At 43.9% G+C, this 20,425-nt stretch overlaps 1 protein-coding gene across 1 annotated transcript in view, besides 3 other annotated features; it reads left to right on the top strand.

Moving 5' to 3' along the window:
- Positions 9,810–10,169: a silencer, noted in NCBI's record as "silent region_15007". NCBI's record gives its function as "represses an Ori minimal core promoter by ATAC-STARR-seq in GM12878 lymphoblastoid cells {active_cell/tissue: GM12878}" and the evidence as "EXISTENCE:reporter gene assay evidence [ECO:0000049][PMID:35858748]".
- The window catches only part of MB21D2 (Mab-21 domain containing 2), a 121,042-nt gene continuing 110,731 nt past the window's right edge, over positions 10,115–20,425 (top strand). The window contains exon 1 of the mRNA NM_178496.4: positions 10,115–10,341. Within this exon, the coding sequence (NP_848591.2) occupies positions 10,131–10,341 (211 nt within the window). The 5' untranslated portion in view covers positions 10,115–10,130. The remainder of the gene's footprint in view (positions 10,342–20,425) is intronic.
- Positions 10,820–11,149: an enhancer, noted in NCBI's record as "active region_21000". NCBI's record gives its function as "activates an Ori minimal core promoter by ATAC-STARR-seq in GM12878 lymphoblastoid cells {active_cell/tissue: GM12878}" and the evidence as "EXISTENCE:reporter gene assay evidence [ECO:0000049][PMID:35858748]".
- Positions 12,777–13,277: an enhancer, noted in NCBI's record as "H3K4me1 hESC enhancer chr3:192632483-192632983 (GRCh37/hg19 assembly coordinates)". NCBI's record gives its function as "activates a minimal SCP1, AML or CMV promoter by ChIP-STARR-seq in naive H9 embryonic stem cells {active_cell/tissue: H9 hESC(naive)}" and the evidence as "EXISTENCE:reporter gene assay evidence [ECO:0000049][PMID:30033119]".

Below are 20,425 nucleotides of genomic sequence, written 5' to 3'. Positions count from 1 at the left end.
TTTATTACTATCACTAATTATTATCTGAAATTTATAAAGTTGCTTTTCTCCAAAATACATAAAGAAAACTGCAGCCCAGATTCCTAGGAGCAGATTTCTTCCATATCTTGGTTGTGAAGAAATACAGACTCCTTAATGCTTTTTTGCCAAAACCACAGTTTCTTGTGTCAACTGCTTTATAAGTCTGGTTATAAAGTTCTATACCTATGTTCATCTCACACCTGGGCTTCAGAACATCATCCTTGGCTTCTAACTTTAGGGCCAGAAAATCATTTTATAACTGTTTTGCAGCCTCTTGTAAATACTTCCTGGGGTACTTTCTTCGGGTGCCTTTTGTTTCTGCTTACCCTGTGAGGAGAGGGATTTCTGGAGTCTGACAAACCTGCTGGGCCCTGGCTGGACCCTAAGAACCCAGAGACCATGTAGCCATACCCTAGGGCCAAGCTGCTGAGTGAATTTCATCAGCAGGCTTTGCTTCATCCCCCACCAACAGAGAATAAGAGGCCATTAGCCAAGATGTGTCAAGGAGGGGGTCTTAATGCACTTATAGATTCTCTTCTCTTTTGATTTTAGGCTAATTCTTTTAGAGTAAAGATCCTTAGAAAAAAATTAGAACATTCAACTATGGAATGTCAAGCTGTGCAAGGATAGACTGGGGGAAAATAAACAAACACATTGTGTTAAGAATTTGTAGGGAGCACTGCTTTATTTGTCTTCTCATGTTAGAGCTGTAGCCTCAGAATGTCACGCCTGGATGACACCTTATTTATTCATTTACACAAGAGGAAGAGGAGATTCGGAGAAAAGGAGAGGATTTTTCTCTGATCATGAAACTAATGGCCAAAGCTGAACCAGAACAGAAATCTCCTGACTTTCAGCTTTTGTCTGAATTTATTTATTTACAATGTATATCCGATATATTCCTATCTATCCCCCTTTAAAAAATTTAAGGCAGGCTGGGCGCGGTGCCTCACGCCTGTAATTCCAGCACTTTGGGAGGCCAAGGCAGATGGATCACTTGAGGTCAGGAGTTCGAGACCAACCTGGCCAACATGGTGAAACCCCGTCTCTACTAAAAATACAAAAATTAGCTGAGCATGGTGGTATGTGCCTGTAGTCCCAGCTACTCGGGAGGCTGAGGCACAAGAATTGCTTGAACCTGGGAGGCAGAGGTTGCAGTGAACAGAGTTCACAGCACTGCACTCTGGCCTGGGTGACAGAGTGAGATTGTCTCAAAAAAAAAAAAAAAATTAAGGCAAATCTCAATAAAATGCATGTACTCATATCCCCAAGATAGTTTAAATAGACAAGAATAATCACAAATTAGATAGAATAAGGGAGCTATGTTTTCTTTTAGTCTATCTTTCTTCCTTTTTTTTCTCTTATTTTTTTCTATTAGACTATAAAGAAACATTAGAGAATGTAAAGGGTGTGAGGGTATTTTTTTCTGCTGCTTAGAAAGTACTAACAGAGTAAGCAGAATTAGAAGTCATGGTCCAGAAAGTATATTTATGGCTGTGTGTGTGATAATATTGTCAGGGCTGAAGGAACATCACAATTTTCTTCATATCCTCTCTCTCTCTCTTTCTCTCTGTCTCTCTCCAGGTTATACATTTGGAATTTAAAATTAGCTTTGGACCACAACTCAACACACCAGGTCTCAGATCAGGGGAAACAACTCCTGCTATTCTTGTGCTGTACTGAGTATGGTTGGAGGTGAAAACAAAAAAGAAAGCCAAGTTTTTCAATAAACTTCTTACAGTGTAGGGTTTAGAGAGGTTTTGTTTTTGTTTTTGTTTTTGTTTTTCTGTGAAGGAATCTCCCTCTGTCCCCAGGCTGGAGTGCAGTGGTGCGATCTCAGCTCACTGCAACCTCTGCCTCCCAGGTTCACACCATTCTCCTGCCTCAGCCTCCTGAGTAGCTGGGACTACAGGCGCCCGCCACCACACCCGGCTAGTTTTTGTATTTTTAGTAGAGACAGGGTTTCACCATGTTAGCCAGGATGGTCTCGATCTCTTGACTTTGTGATCCGCCCGCCGCAGCTTCCCAAAATGCTGGGATTGCAGGCATGAGCCATAGTGCCCGGCTTTTTTTTTTTTTTTTTTTTTTTTTTTTGGACAAGATCTAGAAAACAAAACAGGCATTATAACAATTCCTTTGCCAATGGTATAGACGTGCTCAGAGAACTGGCTTCTATCATTAAACAATGAGCATGTAAATTAATATGTTAAAGGAAGACCCTTTCTTTTTACTGAGAACTTCTCCAAATATAAATTTGGGTTGCACGGTATGTATATGATGTCTGTGGCATGTTTCTGTACCACAGAACTTCTTTGTATCGGGTGGAATGAAATAACCTGCTAGAATCGGACAGTAAGAAAGCCAGAAACGGCTGGGCACCCTGCCTCACGCCTGTAATCCCAGCACTTTGGGAGGCTGAATCACAAGGTCAGGAGATCGAGACCATCCTGGCTAACATGGTGAAACCCCGTCTCTACTGAAAATACAAAAAATTAGCCGGACGTGGTGGCGGGCGCCTCTAATCCCAGCTACTTGGGAGGCTGAGGCAGGAGAATGGCCTAAACCCAGGAGCGGAGGTTGCAGTGAGCCGAGATCGCGCCACTGCCCTCCAGCCTGGGCAACAGAGGGAGACTCCGTCTCAAAAAAAAAAAAAAAAGAAAGAAAGAAAGAAAAAGAAAACAAAAGCCAGAAACAAGGAAATATGTATTTTTAAGCCTAGAAAAATAAAAGACATAATCCTTGATCTTCGTTGGGCCTTACATGAAAATAGATCTCAAACACCTTGTGTTTAGTGCAGAACATAGCTCTGTCATGGAGTGACTCCTTGTAGGAAGCTAGTTTTCAGTTTTCCTGTTAACTGAAAATGGATCATAGAGTCAGAGCTTCTCAGAGTTGAAAGACATTTCAGAGGCCATAGTCTCAGCTCTTTACTAACTTAGGAACCTAGCATAACCCTGATGGGTGGATAACACAGCCCTGAACACCTTCTGTGATGGGGAGTTTACTAATTCATAAAGCAGCCTATTCAGTGCACAGTGGCTCTCATTGTGAGAAAATGCTTCCACATCCTCAGTCAAAGTTTTATGTCTGTAGCTGCCATCAATCCCTCCTGGTTCCACCCTCTGAAGCCACATAGGAGAAAAAAAAACTAAATTAATTTATATTTAATTAACTAATTGACCACAGCAAAGCAAGCCAAACAGCTCCACTTTTCCCATGACAAAGGATTATGGTCTATCCTTGGCACTCGATCCAGTACCCAGAGTATATGTAAAGTAGGATACGGATTGGTGTGGAGAACCCAGAACAGGGCCTTTTGGCAAGTTCAAGGGCCAGAACAAAATGTAACAGTATCAACGGATTGATTGGTTATGAGGGCCCCACCGTTTCACCAGAACAGCTGATGGGGTTAAGGCAGTCGTAATATGCGAAGAGGATTTTTCGAGTTATTTTAAATTACCTGCAATTATTACTATGCCCTTTCTTACCTGATGTGTAGAGTTTAAGTCAAATGGGTTTTCCCAAAAGTGAGAAGAATTGAAAATATGAACTTAATTTTTAAAGTTATTTTGTCGTAAACTTTATTGAGCAAAGGGCCTGAGCTTAGATTTTAAGGTAGAGAGAAGAGGAACAAAAGGCTTTGTTTACAGTAAGGTAACTTGAATCAAAATTTGGAATCAGATTGTGTATGTGAAATGCTGATAAAGCGTACCCATTCTCTAAAATGTGAGAGATTATTGGTGTTTTTCTGTATACTCAATGGGTGCTAACAACAGATTCAGTGAGGTTTCATGGAAAGAACTTGGATTGTAAATCAAAAGACTCAAATTTGGGGTCTGAGCCTGCATTTACTTTTTAATCAAACATTTATTGAATATCTACTATGTTCTACACATCCAGTAAGAGGTACTGGTGATACATCTGTGATCAAGACAGACAGTGTTGCATACATTTTTGTGAGGGAAACAGGAAAGTTATCAGGCAGATACAAGGAAGTGTGAGAACGAACAGTGACGTAAGTCCAGAGGGAAGGAGAGTCTACAAAGGAATTTACCTGACCTAGACCTGGGTGTGTGGGGGTGGAGGAGATCCAGAAAAAGCTCTTTGCAAGGAAATGACATCTAAATAGAGAGCTGAAGGATGACAATTAGCCACAAACTTCACTATCTCTCTGAGCTTTAGTTTCTTATTTCCAAAATGCAAAAAATAATAATAGTCCTCACTAACCTGCTTCAGTAAGAGGCTGTGAGGAACCGATAAATGAATTTTGTGATGAGCGCTTTGTTGAACTGTAAAGTGCTCTATTATCAGGAGGAATTGTTAATAATTGCTATCAGATATTGTTATTTCCATCCCTAGAGTTCATTTCCTTCTTTTCACACGCACAGATTTTGCTTCCCTGAGTATAGCAGGAGTAGAGAATAAAACAAGAGACTGGATGAAGAGATTGATATTGCTGCACTTTTCTCCATAGCTAGATCATTCACGCCCTCAAGGTCATTAGAGTACAGGGTTGGGGGAGAGAGAGAGAGCAGAGAATAAAATGAGAGACTGAGTGGAGAGATTTACATTGCTGCACTTTTCTCCATAGCTAGATCACTCACGCCCTCAAGGTTATGAGGATACAGGGTTGAGGGAGAAGCTGGGACTAGGCCCTCTGAACCATGTGAACACATCAGAGCAGGTGGGCTTCACATGGGCCTCACTTTATTAGGACTGAATAGTCTGAATAGAGAGGGTTATTTATATTGTTCTGGGGACCTCGCTAATATTTCAATGGCCTAAGGCCGGGCGCGGTGGCTCACGTCTGTAATCCCAGCACTTTGGGAGGCTGAGGTGGGCAGATCATGAGGTCAGGAGTTCAAGGCCAGTCTGGCCAACATGGTGATTCCCTGTCTCTACTAAAAATACCAAAATTAGCCGGGTGTGGTGGTGTGTGCCTGTAATCCCAGCTACTCCAGAGGCTGAGGGAGGAGAATTGCTTGAATCAGGACCCAGAAGGTGGAGGTGGCAGTGAGCTGAGATGGTGTCACTGCACTCCAGCCTGGGCAACAAAGCGAAACTCCGTCTCAAAAAAAAAAAAAAAAAAAAAAATTAAACGGCCTAATCTCATTAGAAGTAACAGTGCCCGATTTGCCCCAAGCAGGGACGTGCGCACCTCTGTTTATGACTACCAAAGAGATTTAGCTGTAGTCTTGATTGTCTACCTATTGCCAGGAAAAATCAGTAGCCAAGTAATTCCAAATGTCAGCAGTTTCTGGTTTACTGAGATTTAACTTCAAGTGAAATGAGTGCATTTTGCCCAAGGGCCACTCTCCTGTTTTTATTTTTATTTTTTAAATTATAATTTTGATCAAATTTCGTGGCATTTTTCATGTTCCTTCTGGCAGTCTGGAAACACAATAACAAATATTTAGTAAATTTAAAGTTAGTATGAAAAATAGAAACAGAATTGTCTCTACTATCTAGTCAAGTTTCCCTTCTCTTTCTGTGCCCTCATTCTCCCATCTGGTAAATAAGGGGGGTAGATGGAATTTATCATCTAAGTTCCTTCTACTGTCAACATTCCACACGTCTGTGATGTTTGCCTCTCTTTTTCCTGCCTGCATTTCAAATCATAAAAAACCCAGGCCACTTCCATTTGTTAGACTTTTATTGAAAATCCAGCTGCCCAAGAAGGCCAGATCTTGTAGCCTAGGCTGCTATTTAAATCTCCCTCAGACCAGAGAATCTTTGTTTAAAATTATATTTTGTTAATCCATCATGTGGATGTGGAGCTTGCTATTTTTAATGCAGGCTCTGCACAGCCCAGTTATTCATGGCTGAGAGTTTGCCACAGAACTTCAGAGCTGTATTTAACAACAAACAGCTCCAGAGAAGCAAGATGAAGACTTCTTTCACATGCTAATAAAATTTGGGAGTTGGGAGTAGAAGGGCAAGTTCTACCTCTAAGTGTGACAGCAGTTTGGAAATGCAGGCTGTTACTCTGTTCTGTTTGATGCTGCAAGAGCCAGCAAAGGAAAAGCCTACCTTAGTGCTTGTTTAGATGGTAGACTCCACTGACCTTTGTCCATCTGTCAAAATTCTAGAGATATGCATTTTTATTCAAGCCTCAGACACTCTTTAACATCTTCTAATAATGATTTTCTCTCTCTCTCCACCTTCCTCTCTATCTCTCTTCCTTCTCTTAGGTCATATAACATACACAGGGAGAAAAAGGCATAAAAATTGGGGCATTTAATTAAATGCATGCAGAAATACTTACATTTATAACAACACTTAACTAAATACTGGGAAACCATAGATAGCTTACATTGAGATATTTAAATTGTAGCAAAAATCACCTAAATTCTGACTTCTTGGACTTTGAGGGATGGTATTAGTTCATTCTTTTTTATTATTATTTTTTCTGAGAAGGAGTCTCCCTCTGTTGCCCAGGCTGGAGTGCAGTGGTGCAACCTCGGCTCACCATAACTTCCACCTCCCGGGTTCAAGCGATTCTCCTGCCTCAGCCTCTCAACTAGCTGGGACTACAGGTGCATGCCACCATGCCTAGCTAATTTTTGAATTTTTAGTAGAGATGGGGTTTCACTATGTTGGCCAGGCTGGTCTTGAACTCCTGACCTTGTGATCTGCCCGCCTTGGCCTCCTAAAGTGCTGGGATTACAGGTGTGAGTCATCGTGCCCGGCTTCATTCATTCTTTTATATATTCATTTGAACATATAAACTAAGGTCATAAGATGGGTCAAGAACTAAATTAAATGCAGTGTTTACACAGGTGAAGAAACACAGTACTTGCCCTTGAGAAGCTCAGAGGTTAAAAAGTCTCCCAATAGATCAATTCAGGAAATTATGGTTTTTGATCGTTTTTCTCTATTCTTCTAATTCAACAAGGGATATTGACACAATCTTATCAGCGTTCTATTAGAGCCTAGGAAGGTGTTAGTTTACCATCCAATTACATTATCTGGATATGCGGGCTCACTGAGGGTCCATGATTCATAGAAATCTGATCTGGCTGACGGGAAGGAGAACAGACAATGAGGAACATCAGAGAGACCACTCACTCATTCAAACCCCCAGGGTCCAGCACTACGGCACAACAGGAATACTTTCTGCTAACAACCTGTTGTTTCTTTATGGATATAAATATCATAAGAAAAGGTAAAATTAAGGGAAGATTAGTGATGCCTCATTCATATGTTTGGAAATTAACAAATAAAAAGTGTTTCGATTTTGTTGTCTGAAGTATTTCTTAACTGTACATGGTTTGGAGGTAACTAGAACCATTCTGCTCTATGGAATGACTGCCTCAGCCAGCTGTCGCACAGGTGCCTGCCATTGATCACTAGTGAAGCACTGACAGATGGGAGTGGATCACTTTGTGCTGGAGTTCCAAACACTTATGTGGCTTCTAGTACTGCCCAGGTAATGTTAATATCCTCTCAGGATGAGAAGTCAGGGCAGCATAGCAGAGCTGCGAAAGCCAGAGCTTGCTTTGTTTGTTTGTTTGTTTGTTTGTTTGGAGATGGAGTCTCACTCTGTCACCCAGGGTGGAGTACAGTGGCGCGATCTCGGCTCACTGCAACTTCCGCCTCCTGGGTTCAAGCAATTCTCCTGCCTCAGCCTCCCAAGTAGCTGGGACTACAGGTGCACGCCGCCACAACTGGCTAATTTTTTGTATGTTTAGTAGAGATGGGATTTCATCGTGTTACCCAGGCTGGTCTCGAACTCCTGAGCTCAGGCAATCTGCCCGCCTCGGCCTCCAAAGTACTGGGATTAGAGGCGTGAACCACCACGCCCTGCCTAAAAACCAGAGTTTTTAAGTCACTTCCTCATCAGTCCACCAGCATTTATCTAGGCATGGATCCTCTCTCTTTCATACTGAGTGGGTGAGGAAGTGTGTTTCAAAGAGAAGGAAACGAAAAGTAAGAGAAATTAACTGGTTATGCCACAATTCTTCACTCATTACTTGATTCAATAAACATAGAGGACCCTTCGGTAGGACCATATGCTGCAGGAAATACAAAGATGAATAAGATGTAGCCCTCATCCCCAAGAATCTTTTAGTCTAAAACTTGCATTAACAATGATGAAGTGGTCAGGTGTGGTGGCTCACGCCTGTAATCCCTTTGAGAGATCTAGATGCAAGGACTGTTTAATCCCAGGAGGTTGAGGTTGCTGTGAGCCACGATTGTGCCACTGCACTCTGGCCTGGGCTACAGAGGAAGACCCTGTTTCAGAAACAAACAAACACACACACACACAACCCAAAACAAAAAGCAATGATGAAGCAAGGTCAAAATTCATTAGCATCATATGAAAGCTTCTGAGAGTAGGTTCTGAGGAAGGAAAAGTTGCCACCAGCTTGAGGGGAGGGTCTCCGGAAAGCTGTAAGAAAAAGGCAGACGCGGATTGGTTTTGGTGTAAACGGAGTAAAGAAGAGAGGAATTCCAGGGGGAGGTCAGTGGTCAGGTCTGTGTTTTCTAAAGATCACTCTGGCAACAAGTTGTTACTAGATTGAGGAACAGTGAAAGAATTAATAACAATAATAGTAGAAGCTGATAATAGCTAAGTACTTATTATGTCAGTCCTTGAACTAAGTGCTTGACCTGTTTTATCTCACGTAATCCTTAAAACAACCTGTGAGACAGGAATTATTATTCCCATTTTATAGGGGAAGGCATGGAAGAGTCCGTACTTCCTTCCATGTCTAACAAAACAATTTGTATTCTTGGCCATGAGAACTCGGGTAAGAAAGTGAAACAGACCTGATCTAAATCAGGGACTGTGGGATAGAGAAGAGAGATTTTGGAGAATTAGGGAGGAAGATAACCTATGTTTCTCACAGCCAATGGGCCTCCTAAGTGTTTGAATGATACACCCCATAAACACTAAAACCACCTCTGAGACTCTATTCTGCCTAAAGGACTATGACTTAGATTGAACCTGCCTTGTCATGTAAGCCTAACTCCATGGTAGGAGCCATGTCTTTTGGTTATCACTGTCACATTCTGTCACTCCATCTGGCAAATGGTGCGTACTCAAATTTTATCTGTTGAATGAGAAAATTTTCATCTTGTCATCCAACATTTCTTGGAACCTGGGGCAATACATTGTTTCCCCTCTCCCACACCCACACTTCAGTTTCCCTATCTTTATATTAGAGTAGGTTGAATCTCATTAACTCATTATATGTTAAGATAAATAAGCTGTTATTCAGGTCATTAATTACCTTGGGCAAAGGTAGGGATATCTAGGGGTTAGTGGGAGTGCCAATACTGGGTTAGATGTGGACCCTCTTTTTTTATACGCTCAATCCTATCATCTTGGCAATCCAAGAGGAAAAGGGTAGAAGACAGGTTTCATATTCCTTAAGGCAGTTTCCTTTACTATTTAAAGGTATTGGAGTTCTTGGGATAGAGAGGTAAACGCGCACAGAGATGTCCTCCCCCAGGACACCGCCCTTAAAATCAAACGGAGGAAGACTTTCTTCTCCTTGAATGCGCTTGGCAAACCCTGCCCAGAAAGGGGATGGGGGGACGGCCGTGGAGGTGGAGAAAGAATGCATCCACACCTCGCGCGTCTTCCCAAGTACGGATTGGCAAGTGGTATATGCGTGCAGACCTCTGTCATTTATTTATTTTCCTTTCCACTGGGTGCGCTGTCCCTTTAAATGGAGACGCTGGTGCTGGCTCCGTAACACCGGAGCCGGCAGCTTGTTGATTTCAGAGCTGGTGAATTTCACATTGTTTCCACTTCACTTTCCTCGCCCGGGGGAGGCTCCAGTTGGCTCTACGACCGCCGTTGCCGCTGCCAGAGAGGGCCAGGGCAGGGCAGGGACGCGCAGCATCGGGGCGGGCGTGGGGCCGGAGAAAAGGGTGTCGGGGCCACACACGCACCCTCGCTGCAGTCCAGCTCCTCCCGAAGCTCGCACGCCCAGAGCGCACGGAGCGGGGGACTGCCCGCCCAGACGCCCGCCCGCCAACCCGCCCACGAGCCGGGGCCAAAGCCTGGGAGCCTGCGAGGGGAGGAGGCCCAGGGGGGCGGGGTGGGGGGCGGGGGTGGGTGCCGCGCTGCCGCGGAGCTGCTACTCGGCGCGTTTTGCATGAAGATGGCGGCTCCCACCGCCAACAAGGCAGCCTCCCTGGGCTGTAACAACAAGCCTGCGTTCCCGGAGCTGGATTTCAGGTCGGGAGCTCGGGTGGAGGAATTGAACAAACTCATCCAAGAATTTACGAAGCACGACCAGCGGGAATACGACGACCAGAGAGCGCTGGAGATTCACACAGCCAAGGATTTCATCTTTTCCATGCTGGGTAAGGAGGAAAAAGGGGGAGGTGTGTGTGCGTGTGTGTGTGTGATGGGAAGCGGAGTAGAAAACCCATTGCCGCTTCTCGACCTCTTCCCTTCTGGGTTGCCTTCCCGAGCCGGTGCCTTGGGTATAAGCCATCTCTGTTCCGCCTCTCTCTTCTTTCTCCGCCGAAAGCCGAGCTGCCTGCCCTCCCCTCCTTACTATACTTTACGCCGGGTCTCCCTTTCCCCCTGTTCGCTTGCTCTTTTGTTAATTTCTCCGCCACCTGGGGCTGGCAGGCAGGTGAGGCGTTCGCGGTGAAGCGTTGCACTGTTGGGGGAAGCCCCTGGAAGCGAGTGCAGTCCAGGTGAGCCCCTGAGGTGCCTTCAGTTGAGGGATTTGGCTGCCGGAGGCAGGGACCTCCGCTTTCCCGACGCCGGCTCTTGGGTGCTCTCCCGAGCTTGGGAGCGGAGACGGCTCAGGGCTCTGGCTTGGCGCCCGAGCGACAAGTTGCTTCTGTCGTCTCGCGGCGCGGCGCTGTCATGCCGAGCCCCCGGTGGCCAAACTTGTTGGGTGTTCCCGAGTAACCCGCTGAAGTAGTCTAGGCGTCCGGAGTTCCTGCAACTTTGATTTGCAAATTGACTTCTCTTATGAAGCGATCGGAAGCATTTCCGGTGCTTCTTCAGGGCTCTCGCTGAGCTCGGAATTCTTAATTCCCAGCTCTTCCGTGACTAGGCGCGGAGCTCTGGCCGCAGAGGAGCGCCGGTTCCCTGCTCTTTGTGTATTGTCTTAGCGCTGGCCGAAAGAGGTGCCCAGAGTTTCCAACCGCGGAGACGTCGGGGGCTAGAAAATGTGTCCCCCACTCCCACCTCCAGCCCCTCACCTACGGCTCCTGAAACATGATTGAATGCTGTGTAAAGGAACATAATTGAGCCAGGCCCGGGAGACCGAGCCCACCCTCCCCAGGTGTCCTGCCGTTGGGATTATTGCTACTGAGGTGTAGTGTGAGTTTGCCAGGCGCCTGGGTTGTAACTTGCGGCTCCGCCAGCGGATCCGTGGCTGTCAAGCGGTGCGTGGCCGGCGGTCAACATTCCGAAGAACTGGTACTCCAGGGTAGCGCTGCTCTAACGCTCGTCTCTGGGTGCTCTCTACAAATAGATAAGCCAATTTTCCAGGTGTTGAAAAATTTGATTGGGAAAGGTCTTTTGGCCACAGACTAAGACAGGGCTTTTCTCTTTCTCCTGCAATCTAATTGGGTTTCAGCCGGCTGTTGCTGCTTCTATCCTGGGATACCTTCTTCCTTCTAGGTTTTCTTCTTCCTCACTGCCCAAGGACGGGGTAATACAGACTGAACGTGTCTGTGTCCGCTGGTAGTTGTTCACGCGTTGGGAAGTTAGATGAAACATGTTAAAACTCTAGGCTGGTTTTTACCTTTTGCGCCGCACTCTTCAAGTGTGTCTTACGTTGCGTATGAGGTTGAAAAACTATTGAGAGATTCAGCCGTTCAACTATGTAGATGAATAGATGAATTAAATATATATATATATATATATATAAAACCTGGTAGGAGTGAGCTTCCACAGGGAAGCCTAAAATGCTTACAAAGCCAAAAGCCAACACAGTGATTGTCAGGAAGGTGGGGCCACACACAGAAGGCTGAGCGCAGTTACTTAAGTTGTTTAGTTAATCATAGCCTTTCTCTGTGGCATAAATAATGGAAGTCTGCCATTGTGTTAATACAGCCCCCAGATCAGTTCTGATGTCACTTGCGTAGGTCATTTACTAGAAGAAGGTACTGGGTCACCACCAGTTAGGGTAGTCATGGGTCAGGAAATGGGATAATGTAGGGAGGGTAAATTTAAGTGCCTGGCTCATGAGGAACTTCTGTGCTTAACTCCAAAGCTGATACACTGAATCAGCAAAGCTTTTATCCAAATATAAAAAAGTAAATTATTCTAGGGTGCTTAATTTTTGCATGTGTTTAATGCCATGGGTGGCATTGTGTTGACAGGTAAACTAGATTTGCTTCTATTCCTTTTTACCCAGTTGACCTTGCAAGCAGTCTTTCTTGCCCCCTGGGAATTTAGCATTTCCACCTGCAGGAGAGAAGATTCAAGAGAGTGTCATTTAAGCCTTTTGCCCCTCTGGACACTAGAAGGCAGATGGCGAAATGAGCTTGCTTGCCTGTGTGTGGTGCTGCATTCATTTGCGAGTTCCTTGCTTTCCTTTAATGAGATGCTGGCTGCTCTACACAAGTGGAGGTTTGGCGACAGCAAGGGTTCCTATGTGGATTTACTTTTTCTAAAGCAGATTTTGGCTTGGCTTAAAGAACAAAATCATTTTTTTTATACACTTTGTTTCACTTGCCATAGCTTTGGTTCTTTGATGACTATGCAAATGAAGTCTCTTAATGACCCCTAGCTTGTTAAGGTGTTACTTGGGTGGTACCAGGCCCTCATTTCAGGGCGGGGGGGTGGAGGGTGGCCAGTCCTCTTGGCTTTGTTCTGTATCTGAGCTGCACCTGGGGATTGTTAGCAGCTTACAGATATTATCCCCTCACACAGAATGAAGTGGCCAACCACGAATTGGGTGCAAGCCTCTTTAGTGGAGCTGAGAAAAATACTGCCTCATGTTTCAGGCAGTTGGCAGGGGTGAGGCATGTTACTCTCTTTTTGTGTAAGATTGTTAGCCAAGTCTGAAGCCCCTCCAGCTTCACAGATCCTTTTCATTTTGTCTAGTTTGGAGGAATTTTACACTGAAGAGCAAGGAGGTGGTAGACAGCTGTCATAATCAATGACCTGTCAACACCAAGACACTCCACTGTCTTATCAAAGTAGGGTTCTGCACAGGCTGTGGGGTTGATCTGAGCTTGCTGGTGGTCACTGTGGTCTCTGGGGTCTGTCCTGATGCTCTCTGTTTGTACAGAGATTCTGATTTTTTTTTGGAGGCAGGTGTTAGCTGCAATTGTCTAGATTCACTTCTTATTCCTCTGTACCTTGGTCTTTTAGGAGAATGATTGGTGTTATTATCTAGTTAATATTTGAGAGCCCAGACTGTGCGAAAGGCTGGCAGTGCATAATAAACACCATTTATCAAAATTCAGGGAAATTGCCAGAGTTCATTAATGTTTTAATAATATTTGGTATTAGCATAATGTCTCTGCCAGCTCTTTTGTTATCTTCATTCCCTGGTGAGGTTCGATAGAGACTGGTTTGTGTCCCCATTGAACAGATGCAGAAAAGGGGGTATGCAGATGCTGGAGAAGGCAGGAAAGAAACAAGCCGTCACCTAACCTACAGACCAAGTGGTCGGTACCATGGCATGATTTTTACGGTAGTTAATCATTTACTAATCATCTTCTCAGGGCCAGGAACTTCACATAGACTTTTGAGGAGGTATTGCTTTCCCATTACATAGATGAAGATATTGAAATTTAGTGGGGTGAAGAAAGTGGATATCCAGGGTCACAAAGCTAATAGATGGTAGAGATGCTACTGAAACTCAGGTCAGCCTTACTCTAAAACATGTTCCTCTTCTCCTACTTGAGACTATTAAGAATAGATGCATAAAATCCAGAGGAAAGGCTTTGTTTTAAAAAATCACTTCTTTCAGGATTTTGTTTCGATTTTAGCTATAAGTTTTAGCGTAATATAAGTAGATTTCTGGAACAGTCTGAGTTCAAGTATTCTATAATAAGATCTCCTATTTGAATTTTTGATTGAGAAAATCATAGTAATTATAATAAAATGTTAAAATCTATAGTTTCATTCCCAGTCTGCCTCTTGTTGGCTTTGTGGTCTTAGTATTTTCTCTCTCTTTTTTTGAGACAGGATCTTGCTCCGTTGCCCAGCCTGGAGTGCAATAGTATGATCATGGCTCACCGCAGCCTCAAAGTCCTAGGCGTAAGCTATCTTCCTGTCTCAGCCTCCCTAGTGGCTAGGACTAGAGATGTGTACCACCGTGCCCAGCTAATTTTTTATTTTTTAAAATTTTTGTGTAGATGGAGTCTCACTATGTTGCCCAGGCTGGTCTCAAAATCCTGGCCTCAAGTGATCCTTCTGGCTTGGCCTCCCAAAGTGCTGGTATTACAGGCATGAGCCACCATGCCTGGCCAGTTTTTTCATTTATTAAACATGGATAACAGTAAGCATTGTTTTTCAGAACTGTTATGTCAGAATGTGAAATTACTTTGCTAACTAAAAAAGAATATATACGTGAGTTTATTATTTAAATAAATGTTTGTTTATTTATTTATTTGAGACAGGGTCTCGCTCTGTCACCTAGGCTAGAGTGCAGTGGTACAGTCTCAGCTCACTGCAACCTCTACTTCCTGGGCTCCAAGTGATCCTCCCACCCCAGCCTCCCAAGTAGCTAGGAGTGCAGGCGTGTAACACCACGCCTGGCTAGTTTTTTGTATTTTTGGTAGAGACAGGGTTTCGCCATGTTGCCCAGGCTGGTCTCACACCCCTGAGTTCAAGCAATCCTCCTGCTTTGACCTCCCAGAGTGCTGGGATAAAAATATACTTTCTTAGAAGATCCAGTGAACTTAAATTGGAATTATTTCTGCAGCTTGACATCTGAAAGAACTATGCAGTACAATTAGGGTAGCCCAGGAGGATTTTGGCTCATACCATGTGCTGACCATTGTGCTAGCTACTTTGCCTAAGTCCATTAGCTCATGTAATCTTTTTTCCACAACTTTGTAAGCATAAGTATCATGCCTATTTTGGAAGTGAAATAGGTGTTGTTACCCTTTTTAAAGATGAAATGGTGAGGCTCAAAGAAAGAAGTCAAGAACTTAGGCCAAGATCATTCAGAGTTGGAGACTGAATCCAGTTATTCCTGACTCAGAAGCTCATGTTCCTTTTACTGTAGTAGCAATCAGTTTCCATCACTTTTGGGTGAGACATACTATACTCAGTAGCCTGCCTAGTCTGTAGGAGCAAAGATAATTTCTTTTTTTCTTTTTTCTTTTTTTTTTGAGATACAGTTTTGCCCTTGTTGCCCAGGCTGGAGTGCAGTGGCATGATCTTGGCTCACTGCAACCTCTGCCTCCTGGGTTCAAGTGATTCTCCTGCCTCAGCCTCCCGAGTAGCTGGGATTACAGGCGCCCGCTACCACACCTGGCCAATTTTTGTATTTTTAGTAGAGATGGGGTTTCACCATGTTGTTGGCCAAGGCTGGTCTAGAACTCCTGACCTCAGGTGATCCACCCACCTCGGCCTCCCAAAGTGCTGGGATTACAGGCGTAAGCCACCATGCCCCGCCTGAGATAATTTCTTTTTGTCTTCCTGTCTCTGTCCCTCTTTCTCTCCCTCTGTTTTTTTCACGCATTTGACAAATACTTAATGAATGTAATAGTGTTTGCCAATCAGCGTGCAGGGTTCTGAAGATAAAATGGTGAACAAAAACTTTGAGAAATTCATAAGGGCCTTCAGGGACCCCTCCCCTGTTTCCTTTGCCCACCAACTCTAGCAGGATATTTTGCTGGCTGTTTCTCCTTTCAGGCCAATAAGTGCCATGTGGCCATTTCAAAGATGTAAATGCTTGGTGTGGTGCTCCTGGACCTACCATATTTTTAGGCACTTTCTACATCTCCAGAGTGGGTAATTTTGAAGCCCTACCTTTCCAGTGTTTGATTGCTACTTTTCTGTTAATGAATTCCCCCAGCAGGATTTACCATGGAAATTTATGGTGCGTTGGTGTTTTATGGGCCTCCATGTGCTTGGAAAGTTCCCGAGAGTTGTATTCACTATGTGCTGCATCTGTAGAGTGCACAGGATCATCTCGGAAGTTTGTTCTATCTCTGAGAACATTATGTATCCAGGGCAGGGGATCTCTCCAAACATTCATTTTTGTGCTAGTTTGGATTGGTTTCAATTCCCCCTCCATGGTTCTGGGCAGTGGCTGCCCTTCGTCCTTGAGAGAAGAGGCCTAGAACTGTCGACAGTCCTGGGTCTTCCTGTCATTCCTTGTCATGCCACTCATTGGATAATACATTGCTCACAGTTAGGCTGAGCCCCTTTTTAATTCACAGAAATATTAGATTCTAACAATTCAAAATCTCTGGTCCCATTCAGACCTATTGAATCCGAATTCCCTAGAGATCCCCCAACAAGCTGCTCAGCATGTCAACATCCTGTCCTGTGTTAGGCTTGATGTTCTGCATTCTCTGTTCTAGGCACAGTGAGCATGATCCCAGTTGACTTTTGAGACTAGAACCAAGCTGCTGAGCCTAATGAGCAGATAATGTCTGTCTGCTCCTGGAAAGTAATAGTGGAGTTCTTCCACCTGGGACAGAGACAAAAAGGCATAGTGAGTGAGACAAGGGTGTTTACTATGTCACAGGTTTTAATAGGACTTTACTGTATCATTTAATCATCACCATTACACTTTGAGGTTAAAAAAAAAAAACTGTGGTGAACCCTAGAATTAGAAAAATATAGGAATTCATCCAAGTTTACCAGCAAGTGAGTGGCATAGGTGGGACTTAACCTGGGTCAGGATGAATACAAAACCCTGGCTTTTAACAAGGACAATATTCTGCACTCAGGACCAAGAGACCCAGATTTTACCTCTGAATCTCCAGTTATTAACATTTGCTGTGTGACGTTGGGCAAGTCACTCAGACTTTAAGCCTCAGTTTCTAAATATATAAGTTGGGCTTAATCATTATATGTACTTCATGTGTTCAGGTGCATTCAATTCTGAATCTGAAAGTTTTTATATAGTAAGAGAAAAGGGAATTTCTGAGTTCTTGTACCAGCTCTGTTTTGTACTATGTGGTATGTGTTTTACCCTAAGTCTCCTAACCTATGTTGGGCCTAATTCTGCCCGTTTTCCAATGATAGAAAATGCAAAGGAAAAAGTAAAATCACTCCTAAACTTGAATCACCATTAATATTTTGATGCACATTTCTTCTAAACATCTGTGTTATACATATGCTTATACCCAGACATATGTGTACATTTACATAACAGGGATGGTATGGGATCCATGCTCTTTTATTAGGAGTAAATTTATCAATATGCTGTCCTCTACATTTTAAAGAGGAGCTATAAGTTGAAACTTGTAGAATGATGTTTTCCTAGCTTCTTTCATTCATCTCTTTTTATTCCAAAGAAGATGCATTTCTAGAACTTAGAGCACATTCTGTTATTTATGTATATATGTATGAATGACAGGTCTCACTCTGTTGCCCAGGCTGGAGTGCAATGATGCCATCACGGCTCACTGTAGCCTTGACCTCTTGGGCTCAAGCGATCCTCCTACCTCAGCATCCCAAGTACCTGGGACCACAGGAGAGCACAGCCATGCCTAGTTAATTTTTAAATTTTTTTTTTTTTTTTTTTTTTGTAGAGATGGTGGTCTTGTTGCCCAGGCTGGTCTTGAACTCTTGGGCTCAAGTGATTCTCCCACCTTGGCCTCCCAAAGTGTTGGGATTACAGGCATGAGCTACCACGCCCCACCTCTATTCTATTATTTAATAATTGGGAGTAATGAATTCTCACATTGGTGACCTCCGAGGATTTTACCTACCTTATTTGCCATCTTCTGAGGATTTTACCTACCTTTCCATGCCGCCTCCTGTCTCTGCATGTTCTACATTGTCATGTAACATACACCCCAATTTCTCACTTTCTTTCTTTGCTTAGGCTCTTAGGCTCTTTTCTCTCTCTCTCTCTCTTTCTTTTTTTTTTTTTTTTTTTTTTTTTTTGAGACAGAGTCTTGCTCTGTCACTCAGGCTGGAGAGCAGTGGCCGATCTCAATCTTGGCTCACTGCAACCTCCGCTTCCCGGGTTCCAGTGATTCTCCTGCCTCAGCCTCTGGAGTAGCTGGGATTACAGGTGCGTGCCACCATGCCTAGCTAATTTTTTGTATTTTTAGTAGAGATGGGGTTTCGCCATGTTGGCCAGGCTGGTCTTGAACTCCTGACCTCGAGTGATGCACCCACCTCGGCCTTCCAAAGTGCTGGGATTACAGGCGTGAGCCACCGTGTCTGGCCGAGGCTCTTCATCAGAGTTCCCTAACCTGGGTCCATGGAAACAGCATGGAACCTGTGAACTTGAGTGGGGAAAAAAGGACATCTTTATTTGTATTAACCTCTAACTTAAATATAGCATTTTCTTTCATTATAAATATAGATGGGAAACCATAGTGTTATTAGTGGTTCGTATGTTTTTGTTGCCAATAGAAATCCCAGGCATTTTTATTTCACATTACAGTTGTTGCAGATATCTCAAAAAATGTTTACTGCTGCTTTGAAATTATGGTGGATATTAGACTTGCTGCTAGATTTTATTATTTAAGGCACTAATAATCACATAGGGTACTCTATCACAAATTTACTTTAAAAAGGCATTTATTATTATTTTTTTATTTTTTATTTTTTTTTTTTGAGACAGAGTCTCGCTCTGTCACCCAGGCTGGAGTGCAGTGGTGCGATCTCGGCTCACTGCAAGCTCCGCCTCCCGGGTTCACACCATTCTCCTGCCTCAGCCTCCCGAGTAGCTGGGACTACAGGCGCCCGCCACCATGCTTGGCTAATTTTTTTGTATTTTTAGTAGAGACTGGGTTTCACTGTGTTGGCCAGGATGGTCTCGATCTCCCGACCTCGTGATCTGCCTGCCTTGGCCTCCCAAAGTGCTGGGATTACAGGCGTGAGCCACCGTGCCCGGCCGCATTTTGTATTTTAATACTGATTTTCTTGGAAATCCTGTGTGATGTTATCATATTCACTTAAATATGCTATTCTCTGCAGGGATCTATAGGCTTCTACAGTCTGTCGAGAGGATCCATGTCACAGAAACAATTAAATGTCCCAGGTTCTACAGATGACCTTCTGACACCTTATGTCCGCTTTATTTTTTTCTCCCAGCTCAAATGCCACTTGACTCATGAAGCCTTCCTATATGTCTTTGAGAAGAAGAAAATTTGGCCCGGCGTGGTGGCTCATGCCTGTAATCCCAGCACTTTGGGAGGCCGAGGAGGGCGGATCACGAGGTCAGGAGATCGAGACCATCCTGGCCAACACGGTGAAACCTCGTCTCTACTAAAAAAAAAATACGAAACATTAGCTGGGCGTGGTGGTGGGCGTCTGTCATCCCAGCTGCTGTAGTCTCAGCTACTTGGGAGGCTGAGGCAGGAGAATGGCGTGAACCCAGGAGGCGGAGCTTGCAGTGAGCCTAGATCGCGTCACTGTACTCCAGCCTGGGCGACAGAGGGAGACTCTGTCTCAAAAAAAAAAAAAAAAAGAAGAAAATTTACCTTTCCTGTGTTTCCTCCTAATACCTGGTCCCTTTTGTGGCCCTTAGCCTGTTCTTTCCCATGCTTTAAAGAATACCTGGCTTATTTATCTTTGCAGCACCCAGGGGGTCATGCACATAGTAGGTGCTCACTAAGTGTGATGTGACTTGAGTCACTCTTTAAAAGAGCTCTTCCCAGTGAAGCTTTTTATTGCAGTCTCTGAGAAATTAGCACTTTCTAACCTTGTCTCTTTATGATTTTTAAAAATCCATTGAGTTATACTTTATCATTTTCTGGAGTCCAGAAAATTTTGATCTTATCTCCTTATGTGGCAGAGGGATGTAGGGCAAGTTTTTCTACATTCCTTAAGACCTATCCTAGGGCAATATAAGAAATGTCCATAGTGATTGCTGTAGCTTGTTGACTGGGAACAGCAAACTGCAACTCATGACTCATAGGGATGTTCCCTTCCTTGTGGACCCCGGTGTTTCTTCACAGGCATGTGAGGGTACTTCCGGACCTCTGGCATGCCCATACTCAGGGCTTTTCAGAATGCACAGTGGGCACACGTTATCTTTCTCATTATGGCGTTTAGTGTGCTTATCAGTCATCCTCCAAGTGCCTCCACTTGGATGGTTAATCTGGAACGCAAGTCGTAGGAATTCTTTATTATTAGAAACTACTGTTATTTGCGATCAATACTAATTTATCTTTGCACAATGCTTTATAGATGACAATAAATATTCACATTTGGTATGGTATTATCCTTAGGTCAGGCCTTTGAGAAAGGTTGTATAGGAAGTATTAATCCCCATTTCTAGATGGGAGTACTGAGACTCTGGGAGGTGATGTGACTGATTCG

This window comes from Homo sapiens, chromosome 3 (assembly GCF_000001405.40).
Source record: "Homo sapiens chromosome 3, GRCh38.p14 Primary Assembly".
In the NCBI taxonomy this organism is placed as follows: Eukaryota; Metazoa; Chordata; class Mammalia; order Primates; family Hominidae; genus Homo; species Homo sapiens.
This window is presented reverse-complemented; position numbering and strand designations above follow the sequence as displayed.